This window comes from Homo sapiens, chromosome 12 (assembly GCF_000001405.40).
Source record: "Homo sapiens chromosome 12, GRCh38.p14 Primary Assembly".
NCBI lineage: Eukaryota > Metazoa > Chordata > Mammalia > Primates > Hominidae > Homo > Homo sapiens.
In genome coordinates, this window is record NC_000012.12 from 102,845,070 (window position 1) to 102,866,425 (window position 21,356).

General features: G+C 42.0%; 1 protein-coding gene and 1 long non-coding RNA gene across 4 annotated transcripts in view, besides 1 other annotated feature; one reads left to right on the plus strand and one right to left on the minus strand.

The window, feature by feature from the left end:
- Nucleotides 1-21,356, minus strand: part of PAH (phenylalanine hydroxylase) — a 121,553-nt gene that overhangs the window by 8,181 nt on the left and 92,016 nt on the right. For 2 of the 3 annotated variants that reach the window (NM_001354304.2, NM_000277.3), the window contains 4 exons: nt 10,067-10,263; nt 7,746-7,881; nt 6,618-6,687; nt 1,826-1,882 (listed from right to left, as the gene is read on the minus strand). In NM_001354304.2, the coding sequence (NP_001341233.1) occupies nt 1,826-1,882; nt 6,618-6,687; nt 7,746-7,881; nt 10,067-10,263 (460 nt within the window). Of the gene's footprint in view, nt 1-1,825; nt 1,883-6,617; nt 6,688-7,745; nt 7,882-8,758; nt 9,733-10,066; nt 10,264-21,356 lie in introns of those variants that run through there. The other variant, XM_017019370.2, reaches the window with a different exon arrangement.
- Nucleotides 5,842-7,041: an enhancer, noted in NCBI's record as "CDK7 strongly-dependent group 2 enhancer chr12:103244689-103245888 (GRCh37/hg19 assembly coordinates)". NCBI's record gives its function as "activates an origin of replication core promoter dependent on BRD2, BRD4, P300/CBP, MED14 and CDK7 cofactors, with strong dependence on CDK7, by STARR-seq in HCT116 cells {active_cell/tissue: HCT116}" and the evidence as "EXISTENCE:reporter gene assay evidence [ECO:0000049][PMID:35650434]".
- LOC124902999 (uncharacterized) overlaps nt 19,352-21,356 on the plus strand; it is a 40,575-nt gene continuing 38,570 nt past the window's right edge. The window contains exon 1 of the long non-coding RNA XR_007063428.1: nt 19,352-20,158. This is a non-coding gene — a long non-coding RNA (uncharacterized LOC124902999). The remainder of the gene's footprint in view (nt 20,159-21,356) is intronic.

A 21,356-nucleotide genomic window follows, 5' to 3' on the forward strand; every position in this document is an offset into this window, starting at 1 on the left:
AGGAGAAGGCAGCAACTGCCCCAGTGCCATGGACAGGATTGCCCAGGTAGAAGCCTGTGCAGGTTTGTTCTCTGAATCAGCATGACCTGTGATCACGTCTCTGTGTCCTGTGTCTCACTCTATCTAGTCACCTGTTGAGTGCTGGCTGAATGTAAAGCATGATGGAAAATATCAGGAGGTACTAAGAAGCCCCAAAAGGAGGCTCCCAACAATATGTTCTCCATATGACAGGAACTCCTCCATCTCTTTTGTTTTTTTCTCTGTGGTGTCAACTAGACTGAGATGTTCCTCAGATGCTCTGAAGCTGGCAGAGCTCATTAGGCACAACAGTGGGAGGTAGCAGACTGGGTAGTGATAGAATCAGTGAGGAGAATGTCCCATCATCCATGCTAAAACTTGGGGATGTTTCTGAAGTCAACTACTGCATTTATGCAAATAACCAAGTACTTTTCTTTCAATAACTGACAGTTCAATATGTCCTAGAGAGTTGGCCTGAAAAAAAGAATATTGGGGTTCTGGGGCTAAGAGGAACCCAGAGCTCAGTTAGCTGCTGGAGACAGTCACAGTTTTGGAGAATTAGGGGTAGGTTATTAGTTACATCTGTTTATTGGACTAGAAAATGTTAAACCTGGGAGGGCTGTCAGAGCTCAGTCAGTCTGACCTCCTCACATACAGGTGAGGAGTCTTCAGCCCAGGAAGGTAAGGCAACATGCATGTAGTTACACAGCAAATTAAGGGCAGCAAGAATCCAGGACTGTTCCTCAACCAATCAGTAACATTTTTTCAATCAGTAACAATTTTTTAGAAAAGTCGCATTGGTGATAAGTCATTTTAATATTGTTATGGCAGATAACATGATGCTTTGACTTCCAAGTTTATTTTCTTTGTAGAGATGAGAAATTCTATCTAGCTCTGTAACTTCTTTGAAAGCCGCTCCTTGTATCTCTGTAGCCTCTGGCATTTAAAAACCCATGTTCACAAAAATTTAAATAATTCAATTTAAATAGTTAAATTTTTAGTTGCCTTTGAGATGGGCAAGATATGAGCTATTGCATCCCATTGTTAGAGATGAGGAAGAAAAAGCCACTTGTCCAGCACCTGAAAGCAGCTGTCAGTGAGAAGATAACCTTCTGGGAGTTTTTAGCCTTTTGATGGAACGAGTTCATAAGCTTCTAAACTGATATATCTTAATAATAGATTTGCACTCATTGGCAGTCCACAATTCAATTATAAATGTTTATTTTTCAACTTCCAGGACAGGCAATGTGGCTAGTGGCTGGGGTGGGATGTACTAAAATTAGAAACGAGTATGAAGGAAGGAAATCACCTGCTATGTAGAATTGCTTCTATAGCCCCAGTGGACAAGTGTCATCAGATATACTCAGGAGAGGAAAGTGTTCAGCAAGAAGGGGAAAGCCCACCCCCATTTCTCCCTCATGTCTGAGAAAGAAAAGATCCTAATGTATGCTCTGGTGTGAAAAGTAGAGATGTAAACATTCCATGTTCAAAGCTCTGGATCCAGATTACTTCATACACACACTTTATGCCAAGGGTTTTCAAGGGCTACTATTATAGCCTGTTGGTGGGTTCAAGATACTGCTTAAAATTTAAGAGATGTAAACATCTGTAGGTAGCTGATTTCAAAATCAAATTATTAAGGAGAAATCTATCAAAATGTGAAGTTTCACTTGTGCAAATGTAACCCACCACATTCTGATTTTTTTCCCCAGATAACCTGGCTTCCAGGGGAGTAGGAAAGTTTCAAAGACCTGAGGGCCATAGCCTATAGCACTCCACCATCCACCCAGGGAGAGAAGGGACTTACTGTGGCGAGCTTTTCAATGTATTCATCAGGTGCACCCAGAGAGGCAAGGCCAATTTCCTGTAATTGGGGGAAAATAGAACCTGTTCTGTTCCTGTAATTGGAACCACAGAACCAACCTAGTACTTGGCCATAAAAAGGTGATGGGTGGCCAGATGCCTTCAGAACAGCCCACATAGACCCTGAGTGTGTTATCAAGTCTTTCCTGCCCATATGTTATAGAATCACAGATCTCCAGGGTAGGGGGATCCTTCCACCCTCACTTGGCCCTTTGTTTTCACTTTATAAGTGAGGAAATTGAGGCACAGAGAAGGGAAGTGACTTGCTCATGATCACAGGGTCGGTTAGTATCTAAAGCTTCTTCTCTTGACTCCAGCTCAGTGATTATTCATCAGCAGAATATTCCTGGAATGTTAAATGAGTCTTAATCATGTACCCTGGAAACATCACAGGAGAACTGCAGATAAGTGGTGACATCGGTCCAGGCATATATATAGCTGGAGAGTCTAACACATCATAGATTAATTCTCACCACAGCTTCTGTTGCAGAATTCCTCTACTGTCTCATTGTCTCTTTTACAGCACTTACTGCAGCCTGCCTTGTGTGTATGTGTCTTTCCTACTGTATATATTAATTCACTCTCAAAATATTTATTAAGTTCATTTGATGTGCCAGGCAGTGTATAAAATCAGTAAAGACATCTTGTGAGTTTTAGTGGAGACAGACAATAAATAATGAACATATACATAACTATGTTAGAAGAATATAAGTTCTTTGGAAAGAAGAAACAAAAGAAGAAATAAACAAGAGGGACTAAGAGCTCCAGGGGATTCAGGGGAGACTTCAATTTTAAATAGGGTTCCAGGGTAAGCATCATTGAGAAGGTCATATTTGAGCACAGACTTGAAGGAAGTGGAGTTGTTGGTTATACTGACTTCTGAGGGAAGCACACTGTTGGCCAAGCATATAGCCAGTGCAAAAGCTTGCATTTCTTTCCCAAGAAAAGGCAGCGTTGTTTGGGTCAAGACACAGGGAGGAACCAATGTGGCTGGAGAAGAATTAGTGAGGGGGCAGTGGCAGGTGATATCAAAGAGGGATCCAGAGCCAGATCATGTAGAATATTTTTAGATGTTTTAGGGCTTGAGTTTTTCCTTTCAGTGAAACAGGAGCCATTGCAGGGTAATGAGCAGATAGATGGTCATGATCTCACTTGTGTTACCAAGCACTCCTTCTGCCTGCTGTATGAGAATAGATGGTAGCAGTTGAGGGTAGAGGCAGGACACCAAGAGATGGTAGGGGTTGAGGGTAGAGTAGGACACCAGGAGACTGGAGGGTAGACAGGGAACAAGGAGACTGAAGGGGTTGAGGATAGACAGGACACCAGGAGACTGGAGAGGTTAAGTGTAGACAGGACACCAGGAGACTGGAGAGGTGGAGGGTAGACAGGATACCAGGAGACTGAAGAGGTGGAGGGTAGACGGGACACCAGGACACTAGAAAGGCTGAGTGTAGATGGGACACCAGGAGACTGGAGAGGTTGAGGATAGACAGGACACCAGGAGACTGGAGAGGTGGAGGGTAGACAGGACACCAGGAGACTGGAGAGGTTGAGGATAGACAGGACACCAGGAGACTGGAGAGGTGGAGGGTAGACAGGACACCAGGAGACTGGAGAGGCTGAGTGTAGACAGGACATCAGGAGACTGGAGAGGTTGAGGGTAGACAAGACACCAGGACACTGGAGAGGTAGAGGGTAAACAGGACACCAGGAGAATGGAGAGGCTGAGTGTAGACAGGACACCAGGACACTGGAGAGGCGGAGAGTAGACAGGACACCAGGAGACTGGAGAGGTTGAGGGTAGACAGGTCACCAGGAGACTGGAGAGGTAGAGGGTAAACAGGACACCAGGAGACTGGAGAGGCTGAGTGTAGACACAATACCAGGGCACCGAAAGGCTGAGGGTTAAAGGGACACCAGGAGACTGGAGAGGTGGAGGGTAGACAGAACACAAGGAGACTGGAGAGGCTGAGTGTAGACGGGACACCAGGACACTGGAGAGGTTGAGAGTAAATGGGACACCAGGAGACTGGAGAGGCTGAGTGTAGACAGAACACATGGAGACTGGAGGGGTCCAGGGTAGAGACCACTAGAGGGGGCCACTGAGGAGGCTACCGCAGTCACTAGGATGAGAAATGATAGTGGCTGAGACCAAGTTGGTAGCAGTAGACATAATTGAAATGGTCAGACTCTACACATATTTTGAAGGTAGAACACACAGGATTTTCTGAAAGATTGGCTGTGGGGTTAAGAGAAAAAGGAGTTGGTAATGTCCCAAAGTGCTTATGGTTTGATCAGCTGGAAGGGCGGAATTCCTATGAACTGATAATAGAAAAAGCTGTGCTGGAGAAGGTTTGAGAAGGAAGATCCAGAACTCAGTTTTGGATAGGATGTTAGAGATGTCTTATAGACATCCAAGGGGAGATGTTGAATAGGCAATTCAATATGCAAGTCTGAATTTGGGGATTGAAGTCTTGGCTGCAGATGTAAATGTGTCCGTCATCAGAGTAGAGATGGTATTTAAAGCCATGAAATTGAGTGAGATCACCAGAGGAGTGCTTGTAGACAGAGATGAAGACTATGATTAGACCCACTTTGAAGCAAGAAGCTACATGGTCTGCATCTCTATATCACTCCCTGGGCCAAGTCCAGAGCCTGGTTCAGATTAGGCTTATAAAATACTTTCTGATTTAGAGTGAACCAAATTCAAATTCTTAGCCTGGATCTGCTCTCTCAATTCAACTAGAAACCACTGATAAATCCAAGACCAAAATGGCGCCTTGTTCTCTTAGTCACCATTCTTTGTGAGCCTAGAGTTTGCCTACAACAAGGGGGGCCCCACATTCCCTGTGCTCCAGCCCCACTCCATCCTGTACTGTAGTGGGAAGCAAGTCCTGCCTCTGATCAAAAAGGAATGTTCTCAGGAAACTTTCAACATGACTTGCTGCCTTGGAACTGTCCAGATCAAAGTTGGAACCATGTGACACTGATGCCCCAAGAGCTCCTGTTTGTTGACTTGAGCAACTGTCCACTCTTCTGTGGGGTTCCCCAAAGTGGAAATGGCTTAAGGAGGACTGCCACTTAGCCTCTGACTTCGTAAACTAACTTCTGGTGGTAAGAATAAAAGGTTCCTATTCTTCAAGGAAAAATCTGATTGTTTTTTGGCCACAGTAACAAATCCAGATTTTAAAACTGTCCCAAGCAATCAAAGATATCTTGGCAGCAGTAACCACACTTCTGAATGTCATTGGTGATGCTTCTACAGTTAAAGTTCAACTAATCCCGAAACACTTCCACTTCCAAAAGTCCAACGATCTTTGAACTCCATAATTCCCCAAACCTCACATAAAAGTAATTTTCCTTTTGTTTAGAGAGGCTGCATCTTACAAGTACAGTTTTCCCTCACTTAGCAAGCAATAAATTCCACTTTTTTGTTTGTTTGTTTCAAATATTTAGTGGTAGCTTCTTTATTTGACAGTGGGAATGTTTATTTCTGCCAGCTGAGGGAAAATGCCCATTAAATTCACACACAATCCCATTATTCTGAAATCCCAATACTTGGCTCAGCATTTGCTCATAGGTCATTCCATTTGATTCTTGTGCTTCTTTGTGAGGAAGATGACTGGTGGAGAGGGCTTTTGACTGATCCACTTTTATTAAAACTGAGGCACAGGGTGGCTGATAATGTAACCCCAGGTCACACAGCTGGTTAGTGGCAGGGTTGGAGCCTAGGTACATCAGAACACCATTCAACCTTCTCATGATCCCAGCTACCAAACCATGGTTTTAGGCTGCCTCTCAGTGCCTGGAGAGAATTGGTAGCATTATTTTACTCAGCCCAAAACTTTCTTTTTTGGCCAGGTGTGGTGGCTCTTGCCTGTAATCTTAGCACTTTGGGAGGGTGAGATGGGAGGATTGAGGCCAAGAGTTTGAGGTCAGCCTCAGCAATGTAGTGAGACTCTGTCTCCACAAAAATTAAAACATTCAGCCAGGCATGAAAGTATGTGCTTGTAGTCCCAGCCACTCAGGAGGCTGAGGTGGGAGGATTGTTTGAGCCCAGAAGTCTGAGGCTGCAGTGAACCGTGATTATACCACTGCACTCCAGTCCAGCCTGGGTGACAGAGTGAGACCTTGCCTTAAAAGAAAAAAAAAAGAAAGAAAAAGAAAAAGAAAGCTTTTTTTTGAGCTTGTTAACCACTGTGAAAGATGAATGAAATTCTAGGTTGCAGGGTTGCAGCTTTGATGATGGTGATAAGATATTCAGCTCATTTTTTTCTTTGTTAACTCTAAGTCAGGGTATCAGCATTGGATTCTTGGCAAATGTCACCTCACTTAATTCAAGCATATACACAAATAACTGCCTGACAAGGTAGAAAGTTGCAACAGCCCTGAAAAGGTAAGGGGAATGTACTAAGAGATTGGAAGAAGGTGAGGTAGTTCCTGCATGGGAATCAGGGAGGCTTTCATGGATGAAAGGCTCTAGCAGGAAAAATGAGATTAGTACACTGAAGAACACACATATGATTCAGAGGATGAGTGATTCACCAACCCCATGCTTGATCTCCGAAATGGGTATTTAGCTTCCCAGAACCACACACCCATTTCAGGTGGGATCATAGAACTGTACCTGGTTTCCGCTCTTGCAGAGGGCATGAGGACCCCTCCCTGGGCTCAACTCATTTGAGAAATTCAGGTCACAGACCTATAACTAGAAGGCTAAAAAATCCATTCCTTACCTGGGAAAACTGGGCAAAGCTGCGATCTGAAAACAAGGGCACATGTCCCAACAGCTCATGGCAGATGTCACTGAAAGACAGAAAGCACAGAGAGCTCGGAGGGGAGGAGGTTTAAGCCAAGCCAGACTCAGTCTTTCTACATGAGGAATGGGCAGAAAGAATGGAAATAACTCTTTTAGGCTTATGATCCCTCTCCCAGGAATAAGTGATATGCAGAGGTTGGGATCATAAAAGGCAGGGTACAAGGTAAAAAGAAGAAAAGGAAGGAAAAATAAGAGACAGGTGCAGGGTAGGGCACAGCAGCCAAGGGTCTTAAGAGTATCCCCAGTGGGGTACCAGGCAGAAGAGCTAATATTCCTGTGGACATGCTCCCATATACCTAAGTGAGCTATGAGTCATGAACACTTCTCATCCTGTCTTCTCCCTGGTATTGACTTCCCTGGGCAGATACAATATGCTCAGCTATTCCACTGGGAACTAAAACAAAAACAGTGCTGCTCTTCTGTTAGTCTGGAGGTGGACAGCAGTGAGGGAAGAAAACCTACATTTATTTAACACTGTATGTGCTATGTCCATTTGGAACAGGTCTTTTTGGATTTGTAGCAATGAACTTTATGGGCAAGGAAAAACAATTTTGGATGTTCCATTAATTTTTTTATAAGTTGCATAAGTTTTATCAGACTAAGGGGATAACGAAACACCCAAGTAAGAAGCATAATGGCTGCAATTCTCTACCTCTACCCAATACACAATCTAGGCAAAGAAAGATAAGAGTAATCTAGATGTATACTTAGGAAGTATTGAGATAGCTTGGCTGCCACTTGTTCCTGTTCTCATTTGCAACTTCGTAGCTTTGACTTTGGAACTTGATTGGGATCTCTCATTCTCACTGCCAAGGGAGTTCTGAGTTATTGGATCACAGGATGACCAAATCTCCAATCAGTCTGGTCTATCTACTTGGATGGAGCAAATCTCCAGAATAGATGAATTGTTTTTAGTACTACCAGCAAACAGTCTAGACAACTAGTCCTGTGGACCAGCCAGCAATGAACCCAAACCTCATTCTTGCAGCAGGAAAAGATGGCGCTCATTGTGCCTGGCAACTGGTAGCTGGAGGACAGTACTCACGGTTCGGGGGTATACATGGGCTTGGATCCATGTCTGATGTACTGTGTGCAGTGGAAGACTCGGAAGGCCAGGCCACCCAAGAAATCCCGAGAGGAAAGCAGGCCAGCCACAGGTCGGAGGCGGAAACCAGTGCAAGCTGGGATGAAAAGAAGAAAGAAAACTCAAAGCTCATCACCACTGAGTCAGAGGCACTAGGAGACCTTTAGGTAGTGGAGTAGTACACATAACTGCCCAGGGACATAGGCTTTGACGCTAGGCAGACTTGGCTTCAGATGTCTGCCTCGCTGCTTTCTAGCTAGGTGATCTGGATCAAGTAAATTCCCATTTCTGAGCCTCAGTTTCCTCATCTGCATAATGTGGATAGATACTTCTTAGAAATGTTCCAAGAATAAAAAGAGCTAATGAATACAAAGTACTTAGCACAGAGCCTAGCACATTGGAAACATGCAATAAATTTAGCTTTCATTACCATTTGTTAGGGTGGAACAATGATTCCCTACTTCTCCTGCTTCTAGAGTGAAGAGGGAATTTGAACCTCATTTCCCAGAAGGGAAGAGTATGGATAGAGTGCTTCCAGCTTCTGTACTGCACCTCACACAGTCTACCCCATAAGTAGCAGTGACCTGTCTGACTGGAGCATTTGGGAAGAGAATATGAATATTGTCAATTTAACTCTTTCTGTACTGCTCTTTCTCTCTTGATTGTTCACAGAGGACCTCATTCCAGTCTGCTCTTGGCCATGCAATGGACTATGCTCTATGAATTGGCAGGTAAGTTTACCTAATTAAGGGGTAAAATATTAGCAAGTCCATTTGTGTGCATATCTATATCACATTCTCTAAATCGCTCAATTTTAAAGCTGACCTCTGATCACCATCTCTATGGTTCCTGTATCTGTCTCTCAGTTTGTTGCAAACTTTGGAGGATAAGGATAGTGACAGTGATAATGGTAATAATAGCTAACACTATATTTGACCTACTGTATGTAAGACACTGTTTTAAGCTACTTTAGATATGCTACTAATCCCCACAATAGCCCTATGAAGTAGACACTTTTATTATGCCCACTTTACCGATGGGAAAGCTGAGACAGAGATAGGTTAAAGGTTTTATTCAAGGTCACAGCCACAGGCAGTCTAGCTTCAAAGTCTGTTCTCTTAATTACTATTATGTAGCTTCCCAACTGCTAGTATTACTGTTTTATTATTCTTATTATTGGCCATGGCAATGGAAGTAATTAGCTAAAGAAGTCTTTGAGATCCCCTTGCCTCTTGCCCCCATGTTCTCTGTGTCTTCAGGCTGAAGCACACTCTGCTTGGACCCTTACTCCCTTCTTTATCTAAGAAGCAAAGACTTTCTAATGGAAGGGACCCAAAAGGTCATCTAACTCACCCCCAAACTGTCCTGGCTACAACTTCCCTTCCTGCCAAGTAATTTCCCTGGCTCATTGCCCCCACAGTGGCCCATCTCTGCACAGCTCTGATATATAGAAAATTTTGTAACCTGTAGTCTGTCTCCCCACTTCTGCTTATTCTACCTGGCACACAGTAGGTGTTCAATATGTGCTAGTTCATTATTTTGTTTTTGCTAAATTAACATCCTCTTGACAGAAAGAGTAACACCCATTTCACCTGGATATACTGTACAGAGAGGCTTGCGACTCAATGTACTTACCTATTAAGCTACTCAGATTTCAATTCAGTCCAAATTCACTGAATACCTGCTGTATATGCAAGACTGTGCTGGTTGTTTCCATATGCAGCACCTTACTTCATTCTCATAATTTCCCTATGGGAAAAGCTAAAGAGTTGATACAGTGTCCATTTGACAGATGACAAAACTGAGGCAGGTTTACTCAGCTGGAGAGGATTGAAGGCAGGATTCATACCAGATGCACAGACTCAGAGCTCAGGGCTCTTGGCACCATCCCCGAAAATAGCACATTTCTTACACAAACACACACTCCTAACTCATAACACAGCAGGAACTACAGGGCAAACAAAACAAAACAAAACAAAAAAAAACCTCAGTGAAGCACCTTGGGCTTTAAGTGTGAAAGAAAATACTTTTCAGGGACAGGTACACGGCAAAATCCACAGCCTCAGGTGTTTGATTGAATGAAAGTGGATAAACACAGTAGGGGCTGGAGGGAAGGCAGAGCACAGTGAAATTTAGTTCTTCCTGGAGGAATCAACCTGCATGCATTCCTACAAGCACATGCTTTCATACTTGCCTCCACATACTTGTCTTCCCCTTCCCTCTCCTCTGCCTCAATCCTCCCCCAACTTTCTGCAGGGCCATTGACCCTGATGTGGACTTACTCTGCAGGAACTGAGAAACGTCTTCCAGCTGGGGAATGTTATCTTCATGGAAGCCACAGTACTTTTCAAGAAGTGGAAAAATGTGATTGTACTCATAGCAAGCATGGGTTTTATACAAGGACTTCAGAGTCTTGAACACTGTGCCCCATGTTTTCTTTTCTTCCTCCATGTATTCCACTCGAGGGATGGGCTGCCCACTAGAATACAGGCACAAAATAGGTGTCTCAAGCAGGGCAGGGGCACAGCAGAACGCAGGTTAGGTTAGCAGAGGGAGTCGGGGACCAGAACCTGTGAGCTGCCATCACTTGCTACAGTGAATTTCATACATTATTTGAAAGAGAAAAATTCCACATCTTGATATAGGAAACATTGTTGTTTTGATTTCCCACATGAAAGGGTGATTTGGTTAAGCAGTGATACAGGCTACAATGAGGATTTGCTCTCACTTTCGGGAAATCACTTGGTTTTTCTACTCTTCTAATTCTCTAATTGCTTACCTGGGGTAGAAATTCACTTACCTGCACGGGCCAGTCAGGTATCACAAAGCTGTAAAGTTGCAGAGATTGGCAATAAGGAGAATGGGGGCTGGCAGGAGAATATATTCCCTTTCTAAACCAGGGCATCTAAGTTAAAGCAACACAGTGTATTTTTATGGTGTTAGCTAAAGCAATTAAACCAGTGGGCTAAACTGGATTTAATATGTAGGCCACGAATCTGAGATCCCCTTTGTTTGGTAGGCATGCACTTATTGGGTTTGATATTTCTGCTCCTGGGAAGTTATAAAGGTATTTAAATACATACTAATTAAGATTCCACATTGTATACATATATCAAAACATCATGTTGTACACCATATTTTATATACAATTATATAATTATATACAATTATATAATTGTATATAATTAAAAATTATATACAATTTTTATTTGTCAATTAGAAAACTAAATAAATAAGTTCTAGATCAAGGATAATAAATAAATATTGGAACAAAGGAGAGAAAATAAATATATAAATCCATGCTAAGGTATAAAATGCCTCATACCTTCTCTTCACTGAGCTTGTTCAAGTACATATGCCAGGCCGCATAGATCCTGAATCTCTTGGGGAAGGGAAGGCTCACATATCTGGATTCTAGTAAGCTCCCCAGGTGACTCTGATGCAAACTATAGTTTAAAAGTCGTTAGTTTTAAAAGTCCGGGAAGCTCAAACTGGGTGGAGCCCACCACAGCTCAAGGAGGCCTGCCTGCCTCTGTAGACTCCACCTCTGGGGGCAGTGCATAGCCAAACAAAAGGCAGCAGAAACCTCTGCAGACTTAAATGTCCCTGTCTGACAGCTTTGAAGAGAGTAGTGGTTCTCCCAGCATGGAGTTTGAGATCTGAGAACGTACAGACTGCCTTCTCAAGTGAGTCCCTGACCCCCGAGTAGCCTAACTGGGAGGCACCCCCCAGCAGGGGCAGACTGACACCGCACACGGCCGGGTACCCCTCTGAGACAAAGCTTCCAGAGGAATGATCAGGCAGCAACATTTGGTGTTCAGAAATATTTGCTGTTCTGCAGCCTCCGCTGCTGACACCCAGGCAAACAGGGTCTGGAGTGGACCTCCAGCCAACTCCAACAGATCTGCAGCTGAGGGTCCTGACTGTTAGAAGGAAAACTAACAAACAAAAAGGACATCCACACCAAAACCCCATCTGTGTGTCACCATCATCAAAGACCAAAGGTAGATAAAACCACAAAGATGGGGAAAAAACAGAGCAGAAAAGCTGAAAATTCTAAAAATCAGAGCACCTCTCCCCGTCCAAAGGAACACAGCTCCTCGCCAGCAATGGAACAAAGCTGGACAGAGAATGACTTTGATGAGAGAAGAAGGCTTCAGACGATAAAACTTCTCTGAGCTAAAGGAGGAAGTTCGAACCCATTGCAAAGAAGCTAAAAACCTTGAAAAAAGATTAGATGAATGGCTAACTAGAATAAACAATGTAGAGAAGTCCTTAAATGACCTGATGGAGCTGAAAACCATGGCACGAGAACTACGTGACAAATGCACAAGCTTCAGTAGCTGATTCAACCAACTGGAAGAAAGGGTATCAGTGATTGAAGATCAAATGAATGAAATGAAGTGAGAAGTTTAGAGAAAAAAGAGTAAAAAGAAATGAACAAAGCCTCCAAGAAATATGGTACTATGTGAAAAGACCAAATCTACATCTGATCGGTGTACCTGAAAGTGACGGGGAGAATGGAACCAAGTTGGAAAACACTCTGAAGGATACTATCCAGGAGAACTTCCCCAACCTAGCAAGGCAGGCCAACATTCAAATTCAGGAAATACAGAGAATGCCACAAAGATACTCCTCGAGAAGAGCAACTCCAAGACACATAATTGTCAGATTCGCCAAAGTTGAAATGAAGGAAAAAAATGTTAAGGGCAGCCAGAGAGAAAGGTCAGGTTACCCACAAAGGGAAGCCCATCAGACTAACAGCTGATCTCTCGGCAGAAACTCTACCAGCCAGAAGAGAGTGGGGGCCAATATTCAACATTCTTAAAGAAAAGGAATTTCAACTCAGAATTTCATATCCAGACAAACTAAGCTTCATAAGTGAAGGAGAAATAAAATCCTTTACAGACAAGCAAATGCTGAGAGATTTTGTCACCACCATGCCTGCCCTACAAGAGCTCCTGAAGGAAGCACTAAACATGGAAAGGAACAACTGGTACCAGCCACTGCAAAAACATGCCAAATTGTAAAGACCATTGATTCCGGGAAGAAACTGCATCAACTAACGAGCAAAATAACCAGCTAACATCATAATGACAGGATCAAATTCACACATAACAATATTAACCTTAAATGTAAATGGGGCTAAATGCTCCAATTAAAAGACACAGACTGGCAAATTGGATAAAGAGTCAAGACGTATCAGTGTGCTGTATTCAGGAGACCCATCTCACGTGCAGAGACACACATAGGCCCAAAATAAAGGGATGGAGGAAGATCTATCAAGCAAATGGAAAATGAAAAAAGGCAGGGGTTGCAATCCTAGTCTCTGATAAAACAGACTTTAAACCAACAATGATAAAAAGAGACAAAGAAGGTCACTACACAATGGTAAAGGGATCAATTCAACAAGAAGAGCTAACTATCCTAAATGTATATGCACCCAATACAGGAGCACCCAGATTCATAAAGCAAGTCGTTAGAGACCTACAAAGAGACTTAGACTCCCACACAATAGTAATGAGAGCGTTTAACACCCCACTGTCAACATTAGACAGATCAACAAGAAAGAAAGTTAACAAGGATGTCCAGGAATTGAACTCAGCTCTGCACCAAGCGGACCTAACAGACATCTACAGAACTCTCCACTCCAAATCAACAGAATATACATTCTTCTCACCACATTGCACTCATTCCAAAATTGACCACATAGTTGGAAGTAAAGCACTCCTCAGCAAATGTGAAAGAACAGAAAATATAACAAACTGTCTCTCAGACCACAGTGCAATCAAACTAGAGCTCAGGATTAAGAAACTCACTCAAAACCACTCAACTACATGGAAACTGAAGAACCTGCTCCTGAATGACTCCTGGGTACATAACGAAATGAAGGCAGAGATAAAGACGTTCTTTGAAACCAATGAGAACAAAGACACAACATACCAGAATCTCTGGGACACATTTAAGGCAGTGTGTAGAGGGAAATTTATAGCACTAAATGCCCACAAGAGAAAGCAGGAAAGATTTAAAACTGATACACTAACATCACAATGGAAAGAACTAGAGAAGCAAGAACAAACACATTCAAAAGCCAGCAGAAGGCAAGAAATAACTGAGATCAGAGCAGAACTGAAGGAGATAGAGACACAAAAAAACCTTCAAAAAATCAATGAATCCAGGAGCTGGTTTTTTTGAAAAGATCGACAAAATTGATAGACTGCTAGCAAGACTAATAAAGAAGAAAAGAGAGAAAAATTAAATAGACACAATAAAAAATGATAAAGGGGATATCACCACCGATCCCACAGAAATACAAACTACCATCAAGAATACTATAAACACCTCTATGCAAATAAACTAGAAAATCTAGAAGAAATAGATAAATTCCTGGACACATACACCCTCCCAAGACTAAACCAGGAAGAAGTTGAATCCCTGAATAGACCAATAACAGGCTCTGAAATTGAGGCAATAATTAATAGCCTACCCACCAAAAAAAGTACAGGACCAGATGGATTCATAGCCGAATTCTACCAGAGGTACAAGGAGGAGCTGGTACCATTCCTTCTGAAACTATTCCAATCAATAGAAAAAGAGGGAATCCTCCCTAACTCATTTTATGAGGCCAGCATCATCCTGATACCAAAGCCTGGCAGAGACACAACAAAAAAGAGAATTTCAGACCAATATCCCTGATGAACATCAATGCAAAAATCCTCAATAAAATACTGGCAAACCGAATCCAGCAGCACATCAAAAAGCTTATCCACCACGATCAAGTGGGCTTCATCCCTGGGATGCAAGGCTGGTTCAACATACACAAATCAATAAATGTAATCCAGCATATAAACAGAACCAAAGACAAAAACCACATGATTATCTCAATAGATGCAGAGAAGGCCTTTGACAAAATTCAACAGCCTTTCATGCTAAAAACTCTCAATAAATTAGGTATTGATGGGATGTATCTCAAAATAATAAGAGCTATTTATGACAAACCCACAGCCAATATCATACTGAATGGGCAAAAGCTGGAAGCATTCCCTTCCCTTTGAAACCTGGCACAAGACAGGGATGCCCTCTCTCACTACTCCTATTCAACATAGTGTTGGAAGTTCTGGTCAGGGCAATCGGGCAGCAGAAAGAAATAAACGGTATTCAATTAGGAAAAGAGGAAATCAAATTGTCCCTGTTTGCAGATGACATGATTGTATATTTAGAAAACCCCATTGTCTCAGCCCAAAATCTCCTTAAGCTGATAATCAACTTCAGCAAAGTCTCAGGATACAAAATCAATGTGCAAAAATCACAAGCATTCTTATACACCAATAACAGACAAACAGAGAGCCAAATCATGAGGGAACTCCCATTCACAATTGCTTCAAAGAGAATAAAATACCTAGGAATCCAACTTACAAGGGATGTGAAGGACCTCTTCAAGGAGAACTTGTAGTTGAACCACTGTTCAAAGAAATAAAAGAGAACACAGACAAATGGAAGAACATTCCATGCTCATGGACAGGAAGAATCAATGTCGTGAAAATGGCCATACTGCCCAAGGTAATTTATAGATTTAATGCTATCCCCATGAAGCTACCAATGACTTTCTTCACAGAATTGGAAAAAACTACTTTAAAGTTCATATGGAACCAAAAATAGCCCGCATTGCCAAGACAATCCTAAGCCAAAAGAACAAAGCTGGAGGCATCACACTACCTGCCTTCAAACTATACTACAAGGCTACAGTAACCAAAACAGCATGGTACTGGTATCAAAACAGAGGTATACACCAATGGAACAAAACAGAGCCCTCATTAATAATACCACACATCTACAACCAACTGATCTTTGACAAACCTGACAAAAACAAGAAATGGGGAAAGGATTCCCTATTTAATAAATGGTGCTGGGAAAATTGGCTAGCCACGTGTAGAAAGCTGAAACTGGATCCCTTCCTTACACCTTATACAAAAATTAATTCAAGATGGATTAAAGACTTAAATGTTAGACCTAAAACCATAAAAACCCTAGAAGAAAACTTAGGTAATACCATTCAGGACATAGGCATGGGCAAGGACTTCATGTCTTAAACACCAAAAGCAATGGCAACAAAAGCCGAAATTGACAAATGGGATATAATTAAACTAAAGAGCTTCTGCACAGCAAAAGAAACTACCATCAGAGTGAACAGGCAACTGACAGAATGGGAGAAAATTTTTGCAATCTACTCATCTGACAAAGGGATAATATCCAGAATCTACAAAGAACTCAAACAAATTTACAAGAAAAAAACAACCCCATCAAAAAATGGGCAAAGGATATGAACAGACACTTCTCAAAAGAAGACATTTATGCAGCCAACAGACACATGAAAAAATGCTCATCATCACTGGCCATCAGAGAAATGCAAATCAAAACCACAGTGAGATACCATCTCACACCAGTTAGAATGGCGATCATTAAAAAGTCAGGAAACAACAGGTGCTGGAGAGGATATGGAGAAATAGGAACACTTTTATACTGTTGGTGGGACTGTAAACTGGTTCAACCATTGTGGAAGACAGTGTGGCAATTCCTCAAGGATCTATAACTAGAACTACCATTTGACACAGCCATCCCATTACTGGGTATATACCCAAAGGATTATAAATCATGCTGCTATAAAGACACATGCACACATATGTTTATTGCAGCACTATTCATAATAGTAAAGACTTGGAACCAACCCAAATGTCCATCAGTGATAGACTGGATTAAGAAAATGTGGCACATATACACCATGGAATACTATGCAGCCATAAAAAAGGATGAGTTCATGTCCTTTATAGGGACATGGGTGAAACTGGAAACCATCATTCTCAGCAAACTATCGCAGGGACAGAAAACCAAACACTGCATGTTCTCACTCATAGGTGGGAATTGAACAATGAGAACACTTGGACACAGGAAGGGGAACATCACACACGGGCCTGTTGTGGGGTTGGGGGAAGGGGGAGGGATAGCATTAGGAGATATACCTGACAAGTTAATGGGTGCAGCACACCAACATGGCACATGTATACATATGTAACAAACCTGCACGTTGTGCACATGTACCCTAGAACTTAAAGTATAAAAAAAAAAAAAAAAGAAAGACTGTGGCAATTCCTCAAAGACCTAAAAACAGAAATACCATTTGACCCAGCAATCCTATTATGAGGTACATACCCAAAGGAATATAAATCATTCTATCATAAAGACACATACACGCATATGTTCACTGCAGCACTATTCACGATAGCACAGACATGGAATCAACTTCATTGCCCATCAGTGGTGGACTGGATAAAGAAAATGTTGTACATATACACCATGGAATACTATGTGGCCATAAAAAATGACATCATGTCCTTTGCAGGAACATGGATGGAGCTGGAGGCCATTATCCTTAGCAAACTAATGGAAGAGAAAACCAAAGACCACATGTTCTCACTTGTAAGTGGGAGCTAAATGGTGAGAACATACAGACACATAGAGGGGAACAACACACACTGAGTCTAATGAAGGGTGGAGGGTGGGAGGAGGGAGAGGATCAGGAAAAATAACTAATGGGTGCTAGGCTTAATACCTGAGTGATGAAATAGTCTGTAAAACAAACCCCCATGACACAAGTTTACCTATATGTAAATACCTGCCCATGTACCCTTGAACTTAAAATGAAAGCTAAATTAAAGATTTTAAAAAAAAAGTCCTTTTGAAAACCACCTGGGAATGAACTGTGTTCGGAACAGCACAAACAGATGTAAACCAAATAAAGCCTGACTTCAAAGATCAGTGACTGTCCCCTAGGCTGCAGGCCTATTTCTCTAACAGGAACACAGAGTCTGGGACAAAGTGAGACTGTTGATCTCAGAATTATGGATCATCATTAGGCTCCAGATTAGGTCTTTCTTGCCCTTTCAGAATTGTACCTCATCCAAACACATTAGAGCACAGTCTTTGTTATTGTCTACAGACGAGTGACAGGGATTAGGCAAAAAGATAGCATTTTGCTTAAGTATTATTGAAAGCCAGGCAAGTTCAGAAGGTCTTGTGGTAGCCAGCAATGATGGTGAAAAAAAAAAAATCAGGTAAGCTCTTGCCCAAGAACGCGCCATTATCGAGACTAAGCACTGATACAGGAGACAAACAGACTTTGGAAACAGACAGAGACTGTTCAATCCTTGGCCCTGCCATTCCCTAGCTGTATCAGCTCAGGCAATTTAGTAAACCTCTCTGAGCCTCAATCTGTGCAGCTGCTACGTGGGCTAAACATAAGTACCTGTATGGTGTGGATAAATTTAAGTCTAATACTATGTATAAAGTACCTAGTATTAGTACTGACAAATCCTAACAATTGGATAATTGATCATTACCATTATGACTGATTCTCATTTTAAAAGAAAGGCATCTGTTATTCCTGCAACAAATTTCAAGAAATGGTAACATCCTGAGCACCAAGATGTTCTGCTGGTTGACACCTGCTGTTCTAGGGACTCAACATCTGTTCCCCATTCATCAGTAAAGCACCTTTCTCCCCTCTCAGTCTGTGAGGTTCAGGTGAGGAGAGACTCCACTCCTACCTTCAGAAGTGGGCATGTGACCAGACTAAGCCAATTGAAATCCCTCATTCTCCTGCATTGTGCCTGGCTGAGAGATGGGACTATGTCCTAATCAGAGTCAGTGGACTCAATGCCAGAACTGTGGTTGACTTTGTTGGAAATAGACAGGACCTCTAATTGAGTTGGCGTATCAGCCTAGAGGTGCTAGATTCCCTCTCCAAGAGAAATGAGGCCAATGTCTGAAAGCAAGGCCAAAGCAAAGGACACTAGAGTCAGAGAGGCAAATAATGAGATGCTGAATCCTGGACCTGCCTGAGCCTAAACTACCCGCCTTAAACTCTTCATTTATAGTATCCAGTAGAGCTCTCCTTTATGTTTGAGTTGTTTTGCAGATGAAAAATATAAGCTCCTATGATCCGTTTTATCTATTCCTAGATAAAACTTAAAAGCCCAACTTCCACTCCAGTAATATCATCAAAACCTGCTGTAGCAGCCTTCTAGATGATTCTAGACACAATTCCTGGCTCTGCCTCCAATTCACCATTTTGAATCTTTACTTTTATATGGTCTCTTGGATTCATTCATTCATTCAACAAATGTTAATTGAGCACTGTGACAAAACAGTCAATTACCCCTGCCCTCATGGAGTCCACATTTCTAGTAGAGGCAGACAGAAAGCCAACACAACTCCGTTAGATGATGACAAATGCTATAGAGAAAAAAGGGGCAAAGGTATAGGGAGTTTCAGAGTGGGGTTTCAATTTTACATAGGGTGTAGAGAGGGCATGGCTGAGAAGGTGACATCTAAATGAAAACCTGAGGAGATGAGGCCTCGGTGCTTCACTCTGGAGTCTTCCATTTAGCTTGAACATAACTATTTGAGATTCTGATTCTGCTTTTCTGCAGGTTAATCTGATTCGCACCAGCCCCTGAAGTCTAAAGCAGTGACCGCAGTATCCCCTTTATGCAGTTATTGGGGCTGCTCATCCCAAGCTTGATAGCAGTGGCTCAGCAGTTTACTGCTTTCCTGGGAAAAGCAGGAGAATCTCAATTCTAACCCTGCCGCTTCCTAACTGAGTGAGACCTTGGTCAATTTTTAAAAAGCAAAATCACAAACGAAAGCACAAAAATGTTAAAAATGTGACACTAAACAGACCATGTAAAGGACACATGTTGACAAAATGAGGGTAGAAACAGAAAGGTAGAGTGTTGCCTTCTTTGACCTCAGTTGGAGATATACACCTCAGTAGAATCAAATTTTTTCTCCTCTCTGTGCTAGTCTGGGAATGACTGTGAAAGTGTACAGTGAGTATCGATTTTGGGGTCACAAATACACTTAAGCAAGTAGGCAAATTCGCAAAATAGAATCTGCAAAAAAAAAAAAACAAGGATGAACTATATCAGACCCTGAAGTAAGAGACTATTTTGAAGAAGAAAGACATGGTAAAAAGAGCACCGAAAGCTTAAATGAGATGAGATAAAGTCAAGTCTGAAATAGGCTTTTAATTTTTTAAAAAGGCGAGCCCTTTACTAGCTACATGACCTTCGGCACATCAGTTAGTTAATCATGTGGGATTCATCTATAAAAGGTGAGAAATTGACTAAAAAATTTTAACGTACTTCTGAGAGTCCAGCTATCTATAGATGATTTTCAGTAACCAAGTTAACTGATTAACATCCAGGATTGTGAGGTGATTCACCAATTTCACTCTTCTTCATAAGGTTTCACATTTCTATGAGAAGGAGGTTGAGGAGGATCTGTCTCCGCTCTCCCCAAATCCCAGCAACCCAGAAGTAAGTGAATGTACTTTCTAAGCACCTCCTCCTTGATTATATGAAGTGCAGTCTCTAGACTCTAGGAGTCCCCAGACACTCAGAAGAGTGGCTAAAAATACCCTTAGAATTCAACAAACCTGAGTTTAAAACCTGATTATGTCACATACTAGCTACATGATGTTGGCAACTTACTTAACCTTTGTAAGCTTTGATTACCCCATCAGAAAAATGAGAAGTTATTATTGAGGCTAAACAAAATGATATATACAAAGCATTCACCAAAGCCCCCAGACACACAGCAAGAAGATAATAAGTATGATCTGTTATTGCTGACTATCTGAAGGACTTTTGCCTGTACCTGCTTTGATGGTGTCCACCTGACTGAGCTGGGGCAAAGGTGGAGTCAGGAAAGGGAGGTCACCATCTTCTGTGAATCCTGCTCAGCAGGATCCAAGGCCCAGATGGGCTTAGATCTGACTAAAGACAGCACATTTTTGAATTCTTCCACTACCAAAAGTCATTCAGAAAAGCTTTCTCTCTCTTTTTCCGGAGGTTTTTCCATGTTGAAAGTAACTTTGTATTCAGTATAGAAAGGCCCATCATCTTCTCCATCTCCCTGAGATTCTATCAAAGCTGTCAAAGTACTATGCCATGAGCATTCTGGACAAATTTTAAGTTTCTTCTTGTGCATGTCTTTTCTTAATCCCTTAACTCAGTAACAGCACTTGTCAAAACACTAAGTTTCCCATGGTGGCATTTCTGTAGTTCCTTAAGACTCAAAGGAGCAAAGCTGTTGTCTTCTCAAACATGTTTTATATTTGCATTTTCTTTTGGCTAAAATAGGGTAGGGGAGGAACACAGAACCCCAGACAGGAAAAAAAAAAAACCATCCTAAAATTGTCCTTCACAGCTGGGTCAGACCAGATAAAAGTAGAAAGCTGAAGTTTGGCTGGCCTGAAATCTTGAATGATTCATTATTTCAGTAAAGCAGCCAGCTCCTTCTTGAATGTAAATGATTCTCTTTTTCCTTCTTCCCTGTTTAATGTAGAGAAGACCGGAGGCTGTTTTATTCAGGACCGAGGCCTTTTCTAATTACTGCAGACACCACTGCGTAATTAGACAACAAAGCTTGGGAGAGAGCAGGGCCCCCGCACAGTGGGTAATTTTGTTTTGTCTAGCAGCAATCATTTTTTATCATGTGTTATTAAAGGGAGGG